This window comes from Homo sapiens, chromosome 13 (genome assembly GCF_000001405.40).
Source record: "Homo sapiens chromosome 13, GRCh38.p14 Primary Assembly".
NCBI classification, from domain to species: Eukaryota; Metazoa; Chordata; class Mammalia; order Primates; family Hominidae; genus Homo; species Homo sapiens.
In genome coordinates, this window is record NC_000013.11 from 69870106 (window position 1) to 69891594 (window position 21489).

At 34.9% G+C, this 21489-nt stretch overlaps 1 protein-coding gene across 4 annotated transcripts in view; it reads right to left on the reverse strand.

The window, feature by feature from the left end:
- Positions 1-21489, reverse strand: part of KLHL1 (kelch like family member 1) — a 407856-nt gene that overhangs the window by 169509 nt on the left and 216858 nt on the right. For all 4 annotated transcript variants that reach the window (NM_001286725.2, NM_020866.3, XM_017020678.3 and 1 more), the window contains one exon: positions 12178-12390. In NM_001286725.2, the coding sequence (NP_001273654.1) occupies positions 12178-12390 (213 nt within the window). The remainder of the gene's footprint in view (positions 1-12177; positions 12391-21489) is intronic.

Genomic DNA, 21489 nt, shown 5'->3' on the forward strand with positions numbered 1-21489 from the left:
TAATTTATAAATAAAATAGTTGTATTTCTCTCACTATTCTGCACACTTTACAAGAGGCATGGCATGAGCATCTGCTTTAGGTAAGTCTCAAGATGCTGCCACTCGTAGTGGAAGTTTAAGGGGAGCCAGCTGGTGCAGAGATCACACAGCAAGAGAGAGAAGCTGGGAGAGGTACCAGGCTCTTTTTAGCAACATCTCTCCAGAGAACTAATAGAGCAATAACTCACTCATTACCATGAGGACAGCACCCAGACATTCATGAGGGATCTACCCCACGACCCAAACACTTCCCATTAGGCCTCAAGTCCAACATTGGGTAGCAAATTTCAACATGAGTTTTTGGGGGACAAACATCCAAACCATAGCATTTCTCTTCTTGTCCATCAAATCTTGTATCTTTTCACATACAAAATATCATCATGCCACCCCAATTCTCCCTAAAAGTTTTAAATTGTTCCAGCCTCAACTCAAAAGTCAAGCCTCATTTGAGACTCAAGGCAAGTTACAGCTGTGATCCTACAAAATAAAAATATATATATATTATTTATTTCCAAGATACAATGGTTATGCAAGCATCGGGTAAACATTCCCATTCCAAAAGAGACAAATTGGCCCAAAGTAAGAGGTAACAGGCCAAATGCAAGTCCAAAATCAAGCAGGAGAGACATTAAATCTTGACACTCCAAAATCATCTCCTGTAACTCTATGTCCGGCACCTGGGGCACACTAGTGTGAGAGGTGAGAGGTGGGCTCTCATGGTCTTGTGGTTTTGCTTGGTGCAGCCCATGTGGCCGCTCTCAGGGATTGAAACTGACTGCTTGCAACTCTTCCAGGCTGAGGTGCAAACTGCCAGTGTCTCTATAATTCTAGGGTCTGGAGGGCAGTGTCTCTGCTCTCACAGTTCCACAGGGAAGTGTCCTAGCAGTTATTCTTTGTGGTGGCTCTGCCTAGACTCCCAGGCTTTCTGATACATCCTCTGAAATCTAGGTGGAAGCTGCCAAGCTTCCACCGCTTTTCCATTGTGGGCACTTGCAGACTTAACAAGATATGGAAGCTGCAAAGGCTTACCACTTGTGCCCTCCGGAACAATGGCCTAAGCAGTACCCAGGGTCCTTTAAACCACAGCTGGAGCAGCCTGGATATGGGGAGCAGTACTCCAAAGTGGCACAGGGAAGTGGTGCTCTGAGCCTGTCCCCCAAAACCATTCTGTCATTCTAGGCCTCTTGGCCTGTGATGGAAGGGGCTGCCTCCAGACTTTCTGAAATTACTTTTCCCACGATCTTGACTGTTAGCACCTGGATCCCCTTTAGTCACGCTAATTTCTCTAGTAAGCGATTGCTCCACAGCATCCTTGGATTCTTCTTCTGAAACTGTTTTTTCCTTCTCTACCACATGACCAGGCTCAAATTTTCCAAAATTTTATGCTCTGTTTCCCTTTTTACTATAAATTCCACCTTTAGTCATTCCTTGGCTGCTGATATGATTATAAGCTGTTAAATACAGCTATATCACTTCTTGAGCACTTTACTGCTTAGAAATTTCTTCCACAATCTACCCTACATCATTGATCTTAAGTTCAGCCTTCCAGAAAACCCCAGAACATGGACACAATTCGGCCAACTTTTTTTTTTTTTTTTCCTGTGGTGGAACAAGGGTGACCTTTGCTCCAGTTCCCAATAAGTTCCTCATTTTCACCTGAGACTTTGTCAGTATGGCTTTTCTTGTCTATATTTCTATCAGCATATTGGTCACAATCACTTGAGCAATCTCTAAGAAGTTCCAAAAATTTCCCTCATCTTGCTTTATTTTTTAAGCCCTCCAAACTTTTCCAATCTTTGCCCGTTACCCAGTGCCAAGGCTGCTTCCACATTTTCAGGAATCTTTATAGCAACACTGACTCTCCGTATCAATTTTCTGCCTAAGTCTGTTTTGTGTTGCTATAAAGGACTACCTGAGGCTAGATAATTTATAATGAAAACAAGTTCATTTGTCTTACAGCTCTGAAGTCTGCACAAAAAGCATGGCACCTACACCTGCCTCTGGTGAGAGCCTCTGTCTGCTTCCACTCATGGCAGAAGGTGAAGGTAAGCCAGCATGTGCATAGATCACATGGTAAGAGAGGAAGCAAGACAGAGGGAGGATGTAAGTACATAGGGGGGACTCCAGGGATTACAGTAATTTAATAAACATGAGCAATCGGCCTGTTTTACAGCCTCCTGCCCTACAGCCTCCTGTAGCTTGTTACTTTCTAAAGCTTGTATGACATAAAGTTACCTAGTTGGTTAAAACTAGTTTCTGACAGATCCCAGCAACTTATAGATGCACTGGAGTAAACTTTCCTCATTACCATGCCAAAGTCTCCACCCTGAGAGGAGTTATATCTTCATTACCATAATACACAATCCATGTGCCAGCGTGATGACTCACTGTGTCTGTGCAACTAGGACCCCATCTCTACATGCAATGATGCACCCTCTCCCCTCTCTATCACCCCATAAAACCCTCCCGTCACTTTCTCTTGGGGAGACACTCCTTTTGAGAATACTCCCAGTGGCCTCCTTACTTGTGCCAAGAATATATCTCCTATTGATCAAAATCTGCATTCTCATGGAGAATCATTTGTTATTTGTCAGGAGAATAAAACGGGGATTTTTTGGTAACAGTGGGAGGGGCAAGGCTCTTTTTAACAACCGGCTCTTGTGTAACTAATAGAGTGGGAACTCACTCATTACCATAGGGACAGCACCAGCCATTCATGAGGGATCCTCCCCAATGACACAAACATCTTTCATTAGGCCCCACCTCCAACACTGGGGATTAAATTTCAACATGAGGTTTGAGGGATGAATGTCCAAACTACAGTAGGAGGCATACACATCTTATTTCCTTATAAAATTATCTATGCAGTTTAACTTTGAATAGACATCAATTCTTAGGAAATTATAACTTATTTTTACTCATATAGTGTTATTGTCAAAATAATTCCCTAAAATTATAGGTCCAAATTCCTCCTTGCCGGAATGTGGACACTGAGGTCCAATGAAACTTAATATACTTTCCATGATCAAATAGTGAACTAATGTTAGTCAAAAGTAGGATCCAAATAAACAGACATATCATCAGGTCTCCTGTCCTAGTAACATCTGCAAACACATATTTATGCCTTTAGTGGACATAAATAATTTTCCAATTATCTTTTCTAAATTCAATCCATACACTTGCACACAAAATACCACACACTGTAACATATTCAAAAAATATTTCAACAATTCTATTCTCTCTCTCTCAAATTAGGTATTAGAGGAACTTTGATATATTTATATTTTATAAATTTATCTGAGTGACAAGATGGATATTATGTTTTGTTTAAGTTTGCCTTCCCTTTGTCCATTCAATAAGGGATTTTTAGTCAAGTCTGAATCAATATGCTCTAATAACTCTTTACAGCAGGGTTCTTAGCACCCACTGTTAGCTCCACTGCCACATAAAAGTATAAAGATTTCTCTCACATTCCAGACAAATAACATATCAACAGATAGGAGAAATACCTAATGTAGATGATGGGTTGATGGGTGCAGCAAACCACCATGGCACATGTATACCTATGTAACAAACCTGCACGTTCTGCATATGTATCCCAGAACTTAAAGTATATATATTTAAAAAAGTAAATGAAGCTAAACTTGCTAAGACCAAGAATAAACTTGTATTTGTTTACTCAGTAAAAATTTGAGTATTGTCTGTGCCAGGAACTTTTGAAAAGACCTCTACATCTGTATTTCTCAAAAATATAGTTGTAAGAAGGGAAATAAACCACTAAACGAGGCAAGAATATAGTAGGTGAAAATTCTAAGAACAGTAAACATTTAAGCTGAAACGTGATTAATAAAAAGACTTAGTCATGATGGGTGACCACCTTCTAGGCAATCTCAATTGAGGGGTGGAGTGGGGCAGTTCATCCTAACAGGTAGGAGGATGTTAGCAGTAATTGTTTAGAATTGGCAAGATATAGTACTCATACGAATAACAAAAATAATTTTTAAAAATTATCTCTAGACTATGCACCTCCCTTTAGTGTTTTCCCTCTCACAGTGTGTGCCTGCCACTACAATCCTCTCCCCTTTAAATGCCATTGCTTCTAGTCTCCAGAATCAGTTGGTACTAATGGACTATATAGTCCTCTTCCCTTATCTCTCTATACTCACTATTTTGGTGATATCATGTTATGTTATGTATTTAAATTATGTCTATATGCTATCAATCTCCTATTTAATACCTTCTGGCCATCCTTCTACAACTCCTGAATGATGCATTCGACTATCTACTCAATATCTCCACTTAAAATATTAAAGTAGTTTAATTAATTCAGTTTTCCAAAATCTTAAAATCACTGGAAAAGGTCTAATGATTTAAATGGCCTTTGCTTTACTGCAGATGTTTCACAATATTTCTTTTACTTACAAATTATTATACCCTATATTAATGTCATCATTTTAATATAAAATATAGATGAATAAAAAATGGAATTTCCTTTAATGTTTAATTGAGAAAAATAACTGTTCTTGCACTTTGTGTCCTCTTGGTAAATGCTATGTATAATATTCTGTAGTATGTAAAGATGCTTATAAACCAACTTAATTTGGATAACCCTGACTTCCTCAAGAAATAGAAGTTCAGTATGGCTGAAGAATACTGACAGCTGGCAGAATATGAGTTCAGAGAAGTAGCTTTGGGGTAAATGATGTAGGGCTTTGTAGGATAGGGATATTAAGGTTTTATCCTAAGAGCATAAATCTTGTCAAGTAGTTAATTGGGCCCTTGAATCTGTTTTTCAGAAGAAATTTAGGACTACAGGTAAATTGTTTTTTGTAATTTGTTTCTACATAGCATTTGAAAGTATAAAATTAAATGATATTTTCTCCACCAAAAATATAGTGTCCTGGGGCACTGTAACATCAGAGAGTAGAACAAATTAGCAACGACAGTTGAGCAAGAGTGATCAAATCAACTGTGTCAAACACAATTGAGATTGGGGGGAAAATTACACCATAGAGGAGTTTGGTGATTTTCATTAGGGCAAATGATTGATTGAAGTGGATTGAAGAGAGAATGATGGTTAAGTAAAAGTACATTTAATAATTATAAAAAATAACTACATATTATGTTGGAAAGGCAAAAGAGAGCTGGAATAGTGAAAATGAATATGACTAATTTTGTGTGTTTGAAACAACAGAACTTTGTAAATTGATTGGAATTATCCAAAATAGACTAAAAATTGATACAATTGATAATGTAAGAAGTGCTCATTGCAGTAGTGGAACCCCTTTGGCAAGAAAGATGGGATGCAAAATAGATCCAGTGGAATCAACCCTTGATTCAAGCAGAAACACTTAATATATTGTAACGAAAATAAAGACTTTCAGATTATGTTCCAAATTCTTCTCTATTTTTTGCTATACCAAAGAGAGTAACATGTATATGTATGAGGAGTTTGTGCATGTGAATGTCCTTGCATATCTTTTATTATATTAATACCTCTGCTGACTTAAAGCTTGCTAACAAAACACTTTGTCTTTTCTTAAATTTTGTAACTTGAACGGTGAATGTCACAGGAGGGCTAAATGATCATGAATCTAAGTATCATTTAGGATAAATTTATTGATCTTAGAAGCATTATTTATTGTCTATGTATTTCTGTTTTAAAGGCATTGTTTTTAAGATTTCTTTTGGAGAAAAGTAATCCTATTCTTTTTTTTTTCTTACTCCTGCAATCTAGCTTTGTAGAGAAGACTATCTCAATAATGATGGCCTGGTATAATCATTAACTAATCAGACAGCCAGCAAATCAAAGGGGGAAAAATACATTGAAAAAGTAACAATGATTGTTAATGGATTGTGTTAGTGGGCTTGATTAATTATTTTGGCCTTACTCATTTGTAAGAAAATAAGAGTTTTAATTTTTTCCTTTGTAAAGATAACATACAGAACACATTTAACAGTGAGCATTTTTGCAGCTAGCCTTGGAGACACTTATCAAGGAGTAGTTTGGGGAGGTAAAATCAAATATAACGTATAAATTTCTTGAGTGTAATCTGCTCTGTATATTTTCCACTGTGATTTCAAAAGGCTCCTTTTATATTGATTTACTCTTTCTAACTGTTTTTATAAATCAGATGTTTTAGTTGTAGCTATAATTTCTATGGTCATGAAGAGTCCGTATGTCACTGGTATCTGATCAATAGTCACTTTTCCAATGAAAAAGGTTGGAGACCTCACCCTTCCTTCTTGCATTGCTATGACCACTACAAGTAATCTTTTGGAATAATTTATTCAGCTTTACACAGAGAGACTTAATTCATGTAAAATAGAGACAGCATCTGTCTTCTAAAGTTAAATACTTGAATGTCCTTGTTATTTTATTGTGCTTGTTATTAGATTAAACCATATTCCTCTAAATCTAGGCAATATTCTATTATTTCATTGCAAGCTTTTTTCTTCTACCTTTTGCTACAGAAAATAAATGTACATGCACATAAACACTCACAAACACACACACACATTGCTATATATTTCCCTTAAGAATCAGTAGGTTTGATTGTTAGGAAGTTTGAAAAATGTTTCCTTTTGTCTTAAAAGAGATAAAAAATACCGGCCTGGAGCAGTGGCTCATGCCTGTAATCCCAACACTTTGGGAGGCCGAGGCGGGTGGATCACCTGAGATCAGGAGTTCAAGACTAGCCTGACCAGTGTGGCAAAACCCCGTCTCTATTAAAAATACAAAATTAGCCGTGCGTGGTGGCGCATGCATGTAATCCCAGCTACTCAAGAGGCTGAGGCAGGAGAATCGCTTGAACCTGCGAGGCAGAGGTTGCAGTGAGCCAAGACTGTGCCACTGCACTCCAGCCTGGGCAACAAGAGCATAACTCTGTCCAAAAAAAAAAAGATATAAACACTACCAATTCTGAGCTAGGAAGCAAAGTTTATATCTCCAACCTTCTAAATAATCTCTGACCATGATAAAACTGAATTCCCCTGAGCACCTTTTGACTTGATAATATGTAGAATTATAGTCTCTTGATTTTTAAACAACATACTTTTACATTTAAAGCCATTCATTAGAAAATAATATAGCAAAAATCTGATACTTATGGGTATTTTTAAAATTCATACATAGTAAATATTTAAGTACATACTACAAAGAAATATCTTATGAATTCAATTAAAATCAGTGGAAATAATTGTTATAAAATGTTAAAACACGTTATTTATTTTATAGCAACATGGTACTTTGTTGAATCCCAGAAAGAAAAATAGCAGAATAATGAGTAAATCAAATCAGGTATCCTCTAAGTAAACTATATATATATATTTTTTTTTCAGTCATTCTCTAAAAGGACAGAAATTTCTATATGTTTTCTAATACTGCTGAAATTGTGAAGCCTCAGGCTATTCAGGAAAAATATGAAAACTATTACAAAAAATTCCATTCATAACTTATTTTTTTAAATAGTGTAATTCATTCTTGGATTATAACTCAGTTATCTATCACTATCATTTTCCCTTTTTCTCTGGTCTATAGCAAAGTAAATAACTGAATTTGTTTCTGGATTAGTTATTATATTTCAATAGAGGACAGAGAGCAACAGTGTTGCTTCTGAGTCTTTTTCATACCTTGTCTTCCTTTCCTGAGCTCCTTTTGTCTACACTGCTCTTATCTGAAATCCATATCCTCTGTTATATTTTCTACACCAAATTACCATAACTTAATGTGCTAATTTATAATTAATAAAGAATATCTGATTTTCTCTGTGTACTTAAGAAATAACAAAGCCCAGATACACATAATGGGCCTACTAATAAAACACATGGGAGGGCAGAAATGATAGAACTGAAATATGTCCAAGTCAAGTTGGTCAGTTGCCTCATGAACACAAGAGGCTATTAAAGCTAAATTAATTTTTGGCACTAATCGTTCTTTTAACATGTTCTGTTTGTTGATGAAGTCTCTTTCATTGTTTTTGTTTTTACTCTTTATTCTAGAAATGTGTTCATGCATTTACTAAATACAATCATAGCTACTCCTTGCTATAAAAGTACTTACAGATTACATGGTTTAACACTATCCTGGAAACATCTGTTTTTTTTTATTTATATATTTTTGCTTTAAATATCTTTTAAAATCTTCTTTAATTGTTATACTCTTGTCTTGGTCAGTGTTTTGTTATGTTTTGGTGAGGAATTTTGTAAGCAGCCCACATTGAGTCTTTCAAATATTGTTCTCTCACTCACCTGAAATTGGCCATTTACATCTGCAGGAATTACCTTACAAACACACACAAAAATTAATCAAGTCTCCTTCAAAAATTAGACCAAGTACTGTTTCCTTTTGAAAATCATCTCTTACCTCACTGAGAAAATATAGACTCTTGCCTCCTTTAAATATTGCTAGTATTTTAAAATATAACATTGTGTTTTGCTATATATTAAATAAGCAATATATAATTATATGTTACACTATATGTAACATTACGTGTGTGTATATAAACACATATAAATACATACATGTATGTGTACACATATATGTGTGTATGCATATATATATATATAGAGAGAGAGAGAGAGAGAGAGAGTGAGAGAGAGAAAGATTGAATACCCAAAGGAATATAAATCATGCTGCTATAAAGACACATGCACACATATGTTTATTGTGGCACTAGTCACAATAGCAAAGACTTGGAACCAACCCAGATGTCCAACAATGATAGACTGGATTAAGAAAATATGGTACATACACACCATGGAATACTATGCAGCCATAAAAAATGATGAGTTCATGTCCTTTGTAGGGACATGGATGAAGCTGGAAACCATCATTCTCAGCAAACTATCACAAGGAGAAAAAATCAAACACCACATGTTCTCATTCATAGGTGGGAATTGAACAATGAGAACACTTGGACACAGGAAGGTGAACATCACACACCAGGGCCTGTCGTAGGAGATACGAGTTGATGGGTGCAGCACGCCAACATGGCACATGTATACATATGTAACAAACCTGCACGTTGTGCACATGTACCCTAGAACTTAAAGTATAATAAAAAATATATATATAAAAGAAATTATGTGATTACTTCAGTAGTATATAATACTTTGATTCATGGTACTTTTAACATTTCCACTCTCATTTATGCTATAATATTGCTGTGACATATTCTCAAAATAACTTCCCCTACCACTACAACTCTTTTCTATTTTTTTCCTATTTTTCTCTCATTCATCTAACATATTGTGTTTGAAATTCCACATATTCTATCTTCTCTTGGTAGCAACACACACAAACATCTCATGTGCATGTGTAAATACTCACAACATATGCACACAAATCACTTAAAGATTATAAGCGACCTATATATTAATCATTCGAAAAAAAGCATGGACAAACCTTACGTTAATGAATCCAAGAGCAGCAAAAAATGTTTCCTGACCATTTTAATAGCTTTTCATAAGGACCCAAAGGTGTTTAGCAGCTTTGAAAGTCCATGTGCAAGTCTGTAAAATCCTTTATTCAATTAAACTTTTTTTTCATTCTGGTTTGACATTGAGGCAAATATGAAACCAACCCTAAATAAAAAATTGTACTCTTTTCCCCTTAGTGATAGAAGATCCACATTTCTGTCAGATCCAATTGGAGTAAAATCTGGTCTTTAAAACTAAAGAAGATGGCAATCACGCTGATTCTCAAAGTACTCATTTGTCAAATGGGAATAACAGTATCAACTACATGGGGATTTTGTAGAAATTAAATGAGATAAAATCGTTTGGTAACTAAAGAAATAAATGAATGCCTTTAAGTTCCTATCAAACTGCTGTTCTTCCATCTTCAGTGTCTTTAAAAGAACCTTCAAAATTGATTAATTCAGGATATTTTATGATCTTCCAGGTTAGAGAGCAAACAGGGAAATGGCACTCATATTGTAGAAATATCTCTGTGTATATTCATATCTGGCCAACCTATGTTTGCAGGAAAACCTGATTTTCCACTAGCTCTATGGACTTTGAAAATCACTTAACCTCTTTGAGCCTAATATTCCTCTGTGTAACAGATTTAATAATCTTTACTTTGCATCTGTTTTTTAATATTAGAAATATATGTAATATGCTTATAATGACACATAATTCATTAACGTTAGTTGTAGAAGTGATAGCCCTTCTTTTATATGAAGACATTTTATAAACAGAAAATATTTCCGTTCATTCCTCCTGCACATCTGTTGTGAAGGTACATATAAAGTTATAATGTGTGATAGCCCCAGTTTGAAGGATGAGGAATGGAGAATAGACATATGCTACATTTATGTCTATCGCACACTGTTTAAAATTTTGTTAATAGTGACATCAAAAGAATATTTTATATCTTAATTTTAATAAATATTACTTCACTAAGCAAGATAAAGCACCTGAACCAATAAGAAATAAAATTCCACATATAATGTATAGCCTTAGGAACAAAAAAGCCAACAGGACATCTCTGATCTGATGTAACCATTTAATGACATGCACAGGTGGCAGCATCTCCCTATAACTGATGACAGAAGAGTTGGAAACGAGGGCATAAAAGAATGACATATCCTGAGAAGAGGAATCTGGTCACATTCTTGACCTACTCTAATATGTGTCCTACTATTTCTGATTTTGTGCACAACATAATTCCAAACTCCCCACATTTCAACCAACAGTAGAAATGGGAAGAGAGTAATGACTGTGCCAGAGTCAAAGGTACCCACTGTCACAGCATCTGTCATTAACTGATAACTATCATTGGCTTTCTGGCTAATAGTGATCATTGGCTATTTCTTCCCCAAAAGATTACCCGCCCAAACTCTAATAGATACTACCTGGCATTAGAACCCAAGCTGGGAGATTTGCAAAAATTCAGTACTTAGCAGCAAAATTTCTTTGTCTAGGTATGTAAATGCATGTTTCCGCTTCTTTGTAAGAGCCTGTTGTTATGATGTGCTCACATAATTTGAATTCCATAAATTATTTTGCTGTTTTTTTCTCCTGTACTAATCTCAGCAGCCAAAGGATATATAATTATCACTTATTTATAAAGCTTCTCTTTTTTTCAATTACGGTAATGTGTTTCTAACTTTCCATTCTTAATATATGACCATAAATCCCACTTCTACACTTACTGTTAATACTTCATACTTGCCTACTGTTCTTCTACTAAATGTCCTAATTCTCTGTTTTATATTTTTAGTAACATATGGATTAGTAAAAATGTTGATTGTGATTTGGATTCAAATGAGGAATCTGGTGAATGAGATAAGCCTCCCATTTCCCTCACACAAATTATATATACAAACAAGTTTACCCATCAACTTAGAAGTTAGGGTCACCTTCAAGCTTATTTTTGGATAACTTTACCAGCCAGAAACCCTGAATTAACAATGCTGTACATAGAGAATTTTGTAGCAAATTAGTTTAAAGATACAAGACTCAGAATCAGAGAGAACTAGCCACTCTTCTTCTAAGTTGAGTGAACTTCATGTTCTTATTAATTTTTCTGTACCCTACTTAACTCATCGATAAAGTTAAGTTGGCTCACTTGGTGTCTAGAGGCTTCTTAACTCCAATTACATATTCCATAATTCTAATTGCTAACTACTGTTAAATCATAACTCTCTACTATTCAGGTATGTTTTATTCCTCTGCAGAGGTTGAAATACCATGCACTGAAGCTTTGAAAATCACACAATATATGCATTTACATCAATGGATGATCACATTATTGCATCTTATATCAAATAATTGACAGGAGACACTGTATTATGATTAGGCTTTTTACATATATATTATCTAATGGATCTTCACAAAACTTCTGTATGGCAGTATGATCACATTTTATAAAGAGATTGAATATCAGAGAAATTAAGTGATATTATCATAATCTTACAAGTGGCCATGAGTCAATAAGCGGCAGAGATAGGATTTAGATCCACGATCCATCATCATACATCATTTTCCACCATCAAATTTAACTTAAAAGTAGTATTTGATAAAAGCATTTAAAAATGTGAATACCTAATTAAAAATGTGTTTTGATGTTTACTTTTAATATAGGGTTTTTCAGTACATTGAATCTATTTAAACAGCGTCACACATCATTACCTGTGGTGGAAGCAGTGGCAGTCTTATAAAGGCAAGAAGCATGCTCAGGTCATTGCATCTACTCTGCATGTCATACTTGACCCACATCATCAATGCATGGAAGATGGTTTCTTCATCAGGAACATTGACATCATCACTGGCCAGTAGTTTATGGAGCTCCTCAGCTGGAAGGAGTAAAAACTCTTGATTTCTGATAACTTCCATTATGTTTTCCTGCAGGGAGAAAATATCTTGGCATAAATTCTGTTTCACTTTTATTTAGCTAGTAAAGCATTTCAGAAAGAAGAAAAGTAGTCAATATCCTTTGTTCTTATTATAACATAATCCTTGAGACTCGATCCTTCAGAAACTAGAGGCTGTTAAGATGAAAGCATTGTAATTGTCATTGAAGTGTAAATGTATCCCAGACAGCACAGATCTTGTAATAAGTGCAGGATTATAATGCTGAGCTTTGTTATGCAGGCAGAATGTACTAAGTGATTAAATGTTCAAGTTTCAAGTGTACTGCTATATAAGATTTGGTGAATAGGAAAAAATAACATTTCACATTTTTAAAAGCTTGACTATATATGTAGACATATATATGAGGATCAGAAAATGGCACTAAAATTGCATAGATAAAAGTAGCACTATAAGATGCACCATTGTTTATTCAAAAGAGAAAGAATAGGACAGATAGGCCACTGAAGTCACAAAATCCAGCAAGTTCCATCCTGCTATTATCTCTTATCATTCCCTCCTCTCATGACAATTTCTTTGGCTTAATTCCCATTTATTTTCTTATTACCATTTATTTTCTTCCTGTTTGCTCCCATAACCTCCTAATTACACTGCCTAACTCTATTCTTAGCTTCTCAGTTTCATCCTCTATCATGATGACAGAATAATATTTCCAAACCATAAATGTGCTCATGGTTTTATTCTGAAGTTTTTGTTTTGTTTTGTTTTATTATTTCTCCTTATATTTTGGTTCAAATTTCTTGTTTAAGCAAGCTGGTGTTCATAATCTGACCTTTTCCTGTTCTCTTTGTTTTTCAACTTGCCATCTTGTTTGACATTTCCTCCCTTACTTACTCCATTACTTAAAATGACTTTTATCAACTTTGCTTTTCTAAATTTCTGTCACATTTCAAGATTCAATGCAAGACTTACCTATTACATATGGCTCCTCAAGTTTCTACTGAGTCTCATTTGACCTGGTCACGCCTTCACTATCCCCTTGCGGTGTGTAGTGGGTGTATCCCTGCCACAGCAGATACCACACTGCAGCCTAATCTTTGGTAAACTTAGAAATCTTTTCACAAATTTTAAGCTGTAAGACCCTGATTTATATAACCTTGTATATCTAGATCCTGACACAAAGCCTGGAAAACAGCAGAGGAGCAGTACATATTTGCTGAATACATGAATTGATAATCTCTGTAGAGAAAAACAAAATTGTAGAAACAGCACAGGATGGTACAGTGTTTTAACAACATATTTTAAAAACTACTTGTCAAAAACTTTCTTACATTTTAAGCAAAAAGTCTTCTGTGGATGATACATGTTTAGAGAAGACAGAGATTCTGCTGTTTGGCCTTCTCTGCTCCACCTCTCCCCATGTCTCCTGGGACAGCTCCAAGACATAGCAAAGGCTTCTCAGGTTCTAGTTTTAAAGCCACAGCGGTGGTAGCAATAGCCACAGGACACATATTTTAGTATAAAAACTGCAGTAGAGTGACACTAAGACTCTTCCAAAGAAGCATTGTGACCGTGCTAAACAGAGTAGAGGATTCAGCAAGTGACCATTAATCTGTATGTTAGAGCAGTTTCAAATTTATTTTTTGAGGAGAAACCTGGTCTGTGTTACAGTATGTCCTTGGAACTGAAGTAACTTCAGCTTTCACAAAAGGGCACTAACTTACTTTCTTTCAGGGCATCTGTCATACATTTACATTAATTGTATAATAATAATACAATTTGTAAATAATGTCTTTATTTATACTGATTGGCTTCCCAGAATAACTGAAAGTAGTTATTTTGGTTCCAGGAAATTGTTTTGTTCCTTGTGTTTCCTTTGGGCACCATGTAAATTATAGATGCCCATAACTGTTCAGGTAATTAACAAATTAAGTGTTCTGAGATGTTTTGCCATCAGATTTTTCAAAAAAAAAAAAAAAAAAAACTACGTGAAGCTAAAGATGTTCTGAGGAATCTTTGAAAGATTTGTCCACCTGTTTTTCCAGTTACTAAAAAATCTATGCCTCCATTAAACCACACACAGAACTCTATAGCTAGGCCATCAAAATATAGTGAGGGATGTCATAAAAAACAGCTCTATGAAACTCCTAGTGGTATCTGTCATAAAGATACTGTTCAAGGCATATTTCATTATATTTTATAGTGTCCTCTTTATGGTGACCCTTGGGAGAAGTTTCTTTCAGGTTTTAGTAGCAAGAATAATTGCACTTCTCCTGAATAAATTGGTTTGCTTTTATCATGGATGTTGTAAATTATGAAATTGATCAGATTTCTCTTTTTATTTGGCCTCCAGAAAACTTAGAGTCAAATTGAAATCTATCTCGTAGGAAGGCTATAGACTTTTATAGTTTGATTTCTTTTTCAGACAGCTCTGATAATAGTTTTAATACCACTACAGCACTTTTTCTTTTCTTTTTTTTTTTTTTTTTGAGACGGAGTCTCGCTCTGTCGCCCAGGCCGGACTGCGGACTGCAGTGGCGCAATCTCGGCTCACTGCAAGCTCCGCTTCCCGGGTTCACGCCATTCGCCTGCCTCAGCCTCCCGAGTAGCTGGGACTACAGGCGCCCGCCACCACGCCCGGCTAATTTTTTGTATTTTTAGTAGAGACGGGGTTTCACCGTGTTAGCCAGGATGGTCTCGATCTCCTGACCTCGTGATCCACCCGCCTCGGCCTCCCAAAGTGCTGGGATTACAGGCGTGAGCCACCGCGCCCGGCCCTTCTTTTCTTTTTATCTCTGCATCTAACTTAAATAATATTCCAATAATTTTGTATTTTTATAAGTTACACTAAATCTTTTGGTAACCAGCGGCGTTGTTTGTACAAACTGCTATAAGGAAATGGGACCTCAGGAGCTGGTATCAGATCTTTCACACTTACCTACGTATTATTATGTAGGTGTTATTTTTTTTTTTTCTTTACACTTCATTGAATTTCTCAAGTTCTCCTTGCTGTTTTATTTTTCCATCAAGCCTCATTTTAATGATACTTTGTTTATGGTACCTACAATGTAGGTTCTGGAAATTAGTTGTTTTAACATCATTATGTGTTATTGCTAAAAGAGAAAATATCAATTCCCATTGAGTTTCTTACATTGCTTGCATATGTTAGCAAACTCCTTATTGTCTATGAAGATCATATAACAAGAGGCCTGTATGCCTTTTGTACAATCTCTTTCTTAGGTTTATTCAATCAACCATTCAGCATAGGTTTATCAAAACCCTGATATATGGCCCTGATAATCATCGTGAGGACAAAATGGATTTGAATAAAAAAGCTCGCCATATGGGAGACACGTAGAAAAAGTGCAATTATCTGGAAAATGATAGTAATCAACTCTGTAGAATCCAGCTTTTCAAGTGGACCTAAAATATTAGAAAGGAGTTTAAACCAGAAAATGGGAAATGGAGACATATAGTATTCTGGCCAGTGAAAACCATATAAAGACATAATCAGGGAGTATAGTATGTGATGCCATAGTTGTCAATTTGATTGAAAACAAGCACAGAAAATTGGTGGGAAATAACATTGAAAGGGAAGTTTAGGTGAGATAATAATGGAGTAGAGGTAGTCTAAAACTTTGATGGTCTTATATGTATGATATTATCATTTGAACATATTGAATCTCATGAACACACACATACATACACACATTTTCTACATATGGGTTAAAAATGCTTATTATAAAGAAAGATTTTGGCAACAAATGTAAGTTGCCATTTCATAAGACAGGATAGCTACAAAAATAAAGACTAAACTACTATTTACTACGACTACTTCATAATATTTTAAAATAATTTTTCTAGCTAAAACAATGTAGTTTTGTTTTATCCTGAATAGACAGAAGTTTTGCACCAGTTTTTTTTTTGTTTGTTTAATTATTTCCTGGACTTAATGTGAACAGATTTTCTAATATTCATTTCTTCTGTGCATTAATTAAATTATGGTCTTCCCACATTAATTATTGTTAATAATATATATATAAAACTCTTTTGAAATTTTATTAGAAATATAAATTTTTATATGAAAATTAGCTGAAACCTAATGGTAATATTGTATCAAACAATATAAGTAAATCCCTTCAACTATCATCTCTTTGTTATTAAGTTTAAAATATGGATATTAACCTATAGCAATATATTTTATTATTGTTTAAGTAACTTTAATTTTGTTTACTTCATGAGCAGCTAATATCAAACCAACACATTATGTACTATATGGTTAACTCAAGAAATCTCTCTCTCATGGAAGTCTACTGAGTTAAGACTTATGTCTTACCATCTTATACTCTGTGACCATTAGTCAATTACAGTAAACTCCTAGTCACGGTTCTAAGCATTATAGTAGGAAGATAAATCCTTTGTCAGACCACTACATAATCTCTGGCTAGATTTCAATGCACCAGAGGATATAGAATTTATTTAATCATCCATCTAAACAGTTATTGGTTAGAAAGATGAGTTCTTAGGAGGCTCATAATGCCAAGCACCTGAAAAAAAATGGGGATCCTGGAATTTGGCTACATCCTCTGGTTGAGGTTGATTAGGTAAGTATGAAAAATATAATCTTTGGGTCTAATGTTTTGGGTCTAAGATTTTAAAATTTCTAATTCCTTAAGCGTCCTTTGCAAGCAAAGTTTTGAGAGTTTCATGATATATGCATGGTTCTACTATTTTAAGGATTGAGATAGAAAAATTAATCTTTTGACTTCTGAGACAATGTTTTTCCTGTTATGTTATGTACTAGATTGAAACGAAATTTTCAGTCTTCTATTTCATCGGATATAAAGGTACAATGTAGGCCACAGTGGCTGTTTCCTCAGAGGGCACAGGTAAACCTTGACCACTGCTTTGGTGTTCTCTATCGAGCAGCTTTTTCATTTTTTACAACAGGGCCAGGCTGATAATTTTCAAATCTTTAAGATCTGCTTCCCTTTTGATTTTAAATTCTGTCTTTGATTCATTTCCATTTTCTTGAAATTTACTATAAGCAGTTGACGAAAGCAACGTGGCTCCTTCGTTACTTGGCTTAGAGATTTCTTTTGCCAAGTGTTTTGCCACTCACAAGTTCTTCTTTCCACAAAACGCTGGGATGCAAACACAATTCAGCTAAGTTCTTTGCCACTTTATAACAAGGGTCACTTTTCCTTCAATTACCAAAAACCCATTCCTCATTTCAGTCTGAGACCTCATCAGGATGGCCTTTACTGTCATAGTTCTAGCAACATTCTGATCACAATGACTTAGGTAATCTGAGACTTTCTCTGCTGCTCTCTTCTGAAGTCTCACATAAATTGCCCTTTACAGTTTGTTCAAGGCAATATCAGTTTATTCTAGTATGCATTTCAAAATTCCTCCAGCCATTATTCATTATGTAGTTCCAAAGCCTCTTCCACATTTTTTGGGATTTGTTATAGTAACTCCCTATCCCTCGGTATCAATTTCTGTCTTACTTATTTTCTGAGCTGCTATAAAACCATCTTAGACTGGATAATTTATAAACTACAGAAAATTATTGCTCACAGTTCTAGAGACTGGAAAGTCCAACATCAAGGCACCATCAGATTTGTTGTTTGGCGAGGGCTCCTTCCTTACAGACAGCATTTTCTTGCTGCATTCTCATATGGCTGAAGGAGCAAACAAGCTTCTTCTGGCCTCTTACAAGGCACTAATCCCATTTATCAAGGCAGAGCCCTTATGACCCAAATACCTCACAATGTCCTCCAGCTTTTAATATAACCACAATGGGGATTAGGTTTTAACATATGGAATTTGGGGGGACACAAATCATAGCAGCATCTCTTCCAAATACTATATTTAATATTAACCCAAGAATATGACCTTAGGTGGAAATAGGGTCATTGCAGATATAGTTGATTAAGTTAAGAAAAAGTCATACTGGATTGGGGTGGACCATAATCTAATGACTGTGGTCTTTCTAAGAGAAATTTTGAGATACACAGATACACCGTGAATAGAACTCAGTGTGAAGAAATGAGAGACACAAAGGGAAGTAGGCTATCTGAGATAGAGGCAGAGATTATGTGTAGTTATGCTACCACAAACTGAGGAATAACAAGGATTGTCAGTAACAGAAGCTGGAAGAAGCAAGAAAGGATTCTTCCCCAGACACTTTAGGAAAAAACATGACCCTGTGGATAATATGACTTTGAATTTCCGGTCATTAGAACTGCAAAAAAGTAAATGTAATGTCTTTTAAGCCACCCATTTTGTGGAACTTTGTACAGCAGATCTAGGAAACTAACACACATCATTGGAGAGATCTATAAAAATTATAATTTTAAAAAAACTTACTTTAAAAATCTCAAATAAACTTAAGAAAGCATCACAACTATTTCCCATCTTTAAAATAAGAATTTCTAAGTTATTTCTTTTATAGAGTAATTCCCTTAAGAAATACTAGCTTTCCCATGTCCCTTATGGAGGATAGCAAATATCAAGAGTTATAAATAAAATCCAGGTGAGCACCTTAAGAGTAAGGCTGCATATATGTTGCATAGGTCATATATATATATATATAATTTTCTATTGCTTTTTAGAATTTAAACTTTCTAAAAATGCAGAGTTGAGAAAGACATCTCCCTTCAAGTATCAAGAGTTTTTAGTAATAATTACCTTAATGTTGTTGCACTGACATATTGCTGTCAAGATTCTAACTTTCTCAGGGTTTAAAACGAATTTTACTGGGCTTTTGATTATTTGCCTTGCCTGAATTTTTAATCCCTTTGTCAAAGTTGCTGACTGAACTGTTGAACACTACCTTAGAATTTCAAAGGGAATGGAAACTCATTATGAGATTATCACAACTTGTTATTTTACCGGGGAGAATGCTGAAGCTAAGAGGAGCTCGCATATAGTCATACTCATGGTCAAGATAAGGCTAGGATTAGAAACTCAGCTTTTTGTCCTTAAGCCTATGACACTTTCCATTACACAACCTGGCCTATCTATTATTTGATTAATTTTTTTCTGGTTCTCCTCACCCATCTATTTTGAGCTTAATGTCTTACTTTGACCTATGTAACATATATGCACCCTTACTCTTAAGGTGCTCACCTGGATTTTATTTACAACTCTTAATATTTCTGGGTCGCACAATATGGCATGGTGATTATGGGTGATTTAATTTGGAGAGTTGGACAGGATTTAGATGTCAACTCTGCTACTTACTAGCTGTGGAACATTAAGGAGCTGGGTTTCTTGTATGTAAATGAGGATGAAAATAGCATCCATGATAATGCATTCTTATCAGAATTAGGTATGAAGACTAAATTAAATTTACTATCCTTAGAGGAATGCCTGTCTCATAGAAAGGAACACATAAGTGTTAGCCATTACTATTCTGCATCTGACCCTACCCTTCCCTTCAGCCTCCTCTTGCTAGCTCTAGAGGCTACATTAACATTACTTTATTTTCTCTATTTTTCTGATTATTCAGTCATTCAAGCAATAATGTTTTATGGGATTCTTTCTCTATGCCTAGTATATGCTTAATACTGGGAATATATAAATTTAAAAAAAGAAAGGCTCTGGCCTTAAGAATTTTACTTTCTAGTGAGGGGGACAGTATAGTATTATAAAATAATTACATTCATTTTATAATAAGAAGAAAAATTTAGTGATTTGAAGAGGGTGACAATGGAAGTGAAATAAAAGAGACCAGACTACATTTTTCTCCTTTCTGCAATAACAATTTCCAAAAAAAGAAAATGTTTGTAATAGATCATGGATTCGGAAAGCACTAAGAAAATATTGGTGTCATCTGGTCCAATTCTCATTATCTAGACAGAATATCAAATAGGAATTACCACTATCTAACATATTCTTAAATTGGAAACATTCTTTGAAATCACTTAATTTAATTTACATTCCATACACTTTTACTGTGCACTGATTACCCGGTAATTATTTTCAGTGATGGGAAACCCACGACCCTGTGAGGAAGCCCTTATCACTGCTGAATAGCTCTATTAGAAAATTGTCCTATTTTTGAAGCAACATCTGCCTTCTTGTAATTTTCTTTCATCCAAGGGCAAATCAATTACTATTCTGTTTATCACCTTTGTAAATCCTTGCATATTAATATTTTTCTTCCACACACACACGCACACACACACACACACACAGATATATGTATCTCCTTGTAAAGGCTAAGAACTACCATTCTTTAATCTGTATAGAAGGTCCTAATTTTCAGAACCAGGAAAGGATGCTAGAACTAAAGATATAGTTTTAGTTGAAACTATATATGTCTGTGAATATACCTGCATTTTTCTTATTGCTTTAGAAATGATAAAACAACAATCAGCAGATATTTTTTGACTCTATATTGCTTCTTTGCATACATTTTAATCTTATATATACAAACATATACTTGTTTAATTAATATTATTCAAATTATACAACGAAGAAAAGTATTCAAAGAGCTGTTAATGTGTACAGGTTTAACGGTGTTTTCCTGTTTTCTCTATATTTTGTTATCAGCTCTTAGGAAATAAACATGGAATATAATTTCTTTAAGCATTCAAATTATATGTTAGTTTCTTCCTTAATAATGGCAATATGCAGAAAAGTTACTAAATGCCATACATGTTTTGTTATCATACGCATAAACCCTCTGCCGAGTTTTCCTTACCTAGAGCAAAATTACCTAGATACAACTCTGCCGGACTGAAGTGAATGGCTGCCAGTTTTCTTTATTAATTCTATAGCACCCACTAAGTGGTAGCTCCCTAATGCATAGTAACTATATTTTTACAAAATATGAGAGTATTAATTTTTTAAAAAAGAAGAATTTTATAATTATCTCAAAACTGTTTCTAGTATCAGAAATAATTTCTGGTGACCATCTTTCAAGATCATCATACAGGAGAAAAGAAAATTTTGTTATTTTAAGTCCCTTAAGTATATGTGATTCTATGACTGGAAGTGGTCTCAGACAAAATGCTGTTGAATAGATAAGAGGAGTTAGAAATTATAGTGGAAATAGCATTGACTTTTTAATAAAAAAGGAATGATATTCTAATTCTGATCCTTTCTAGTCATGATTTCCCA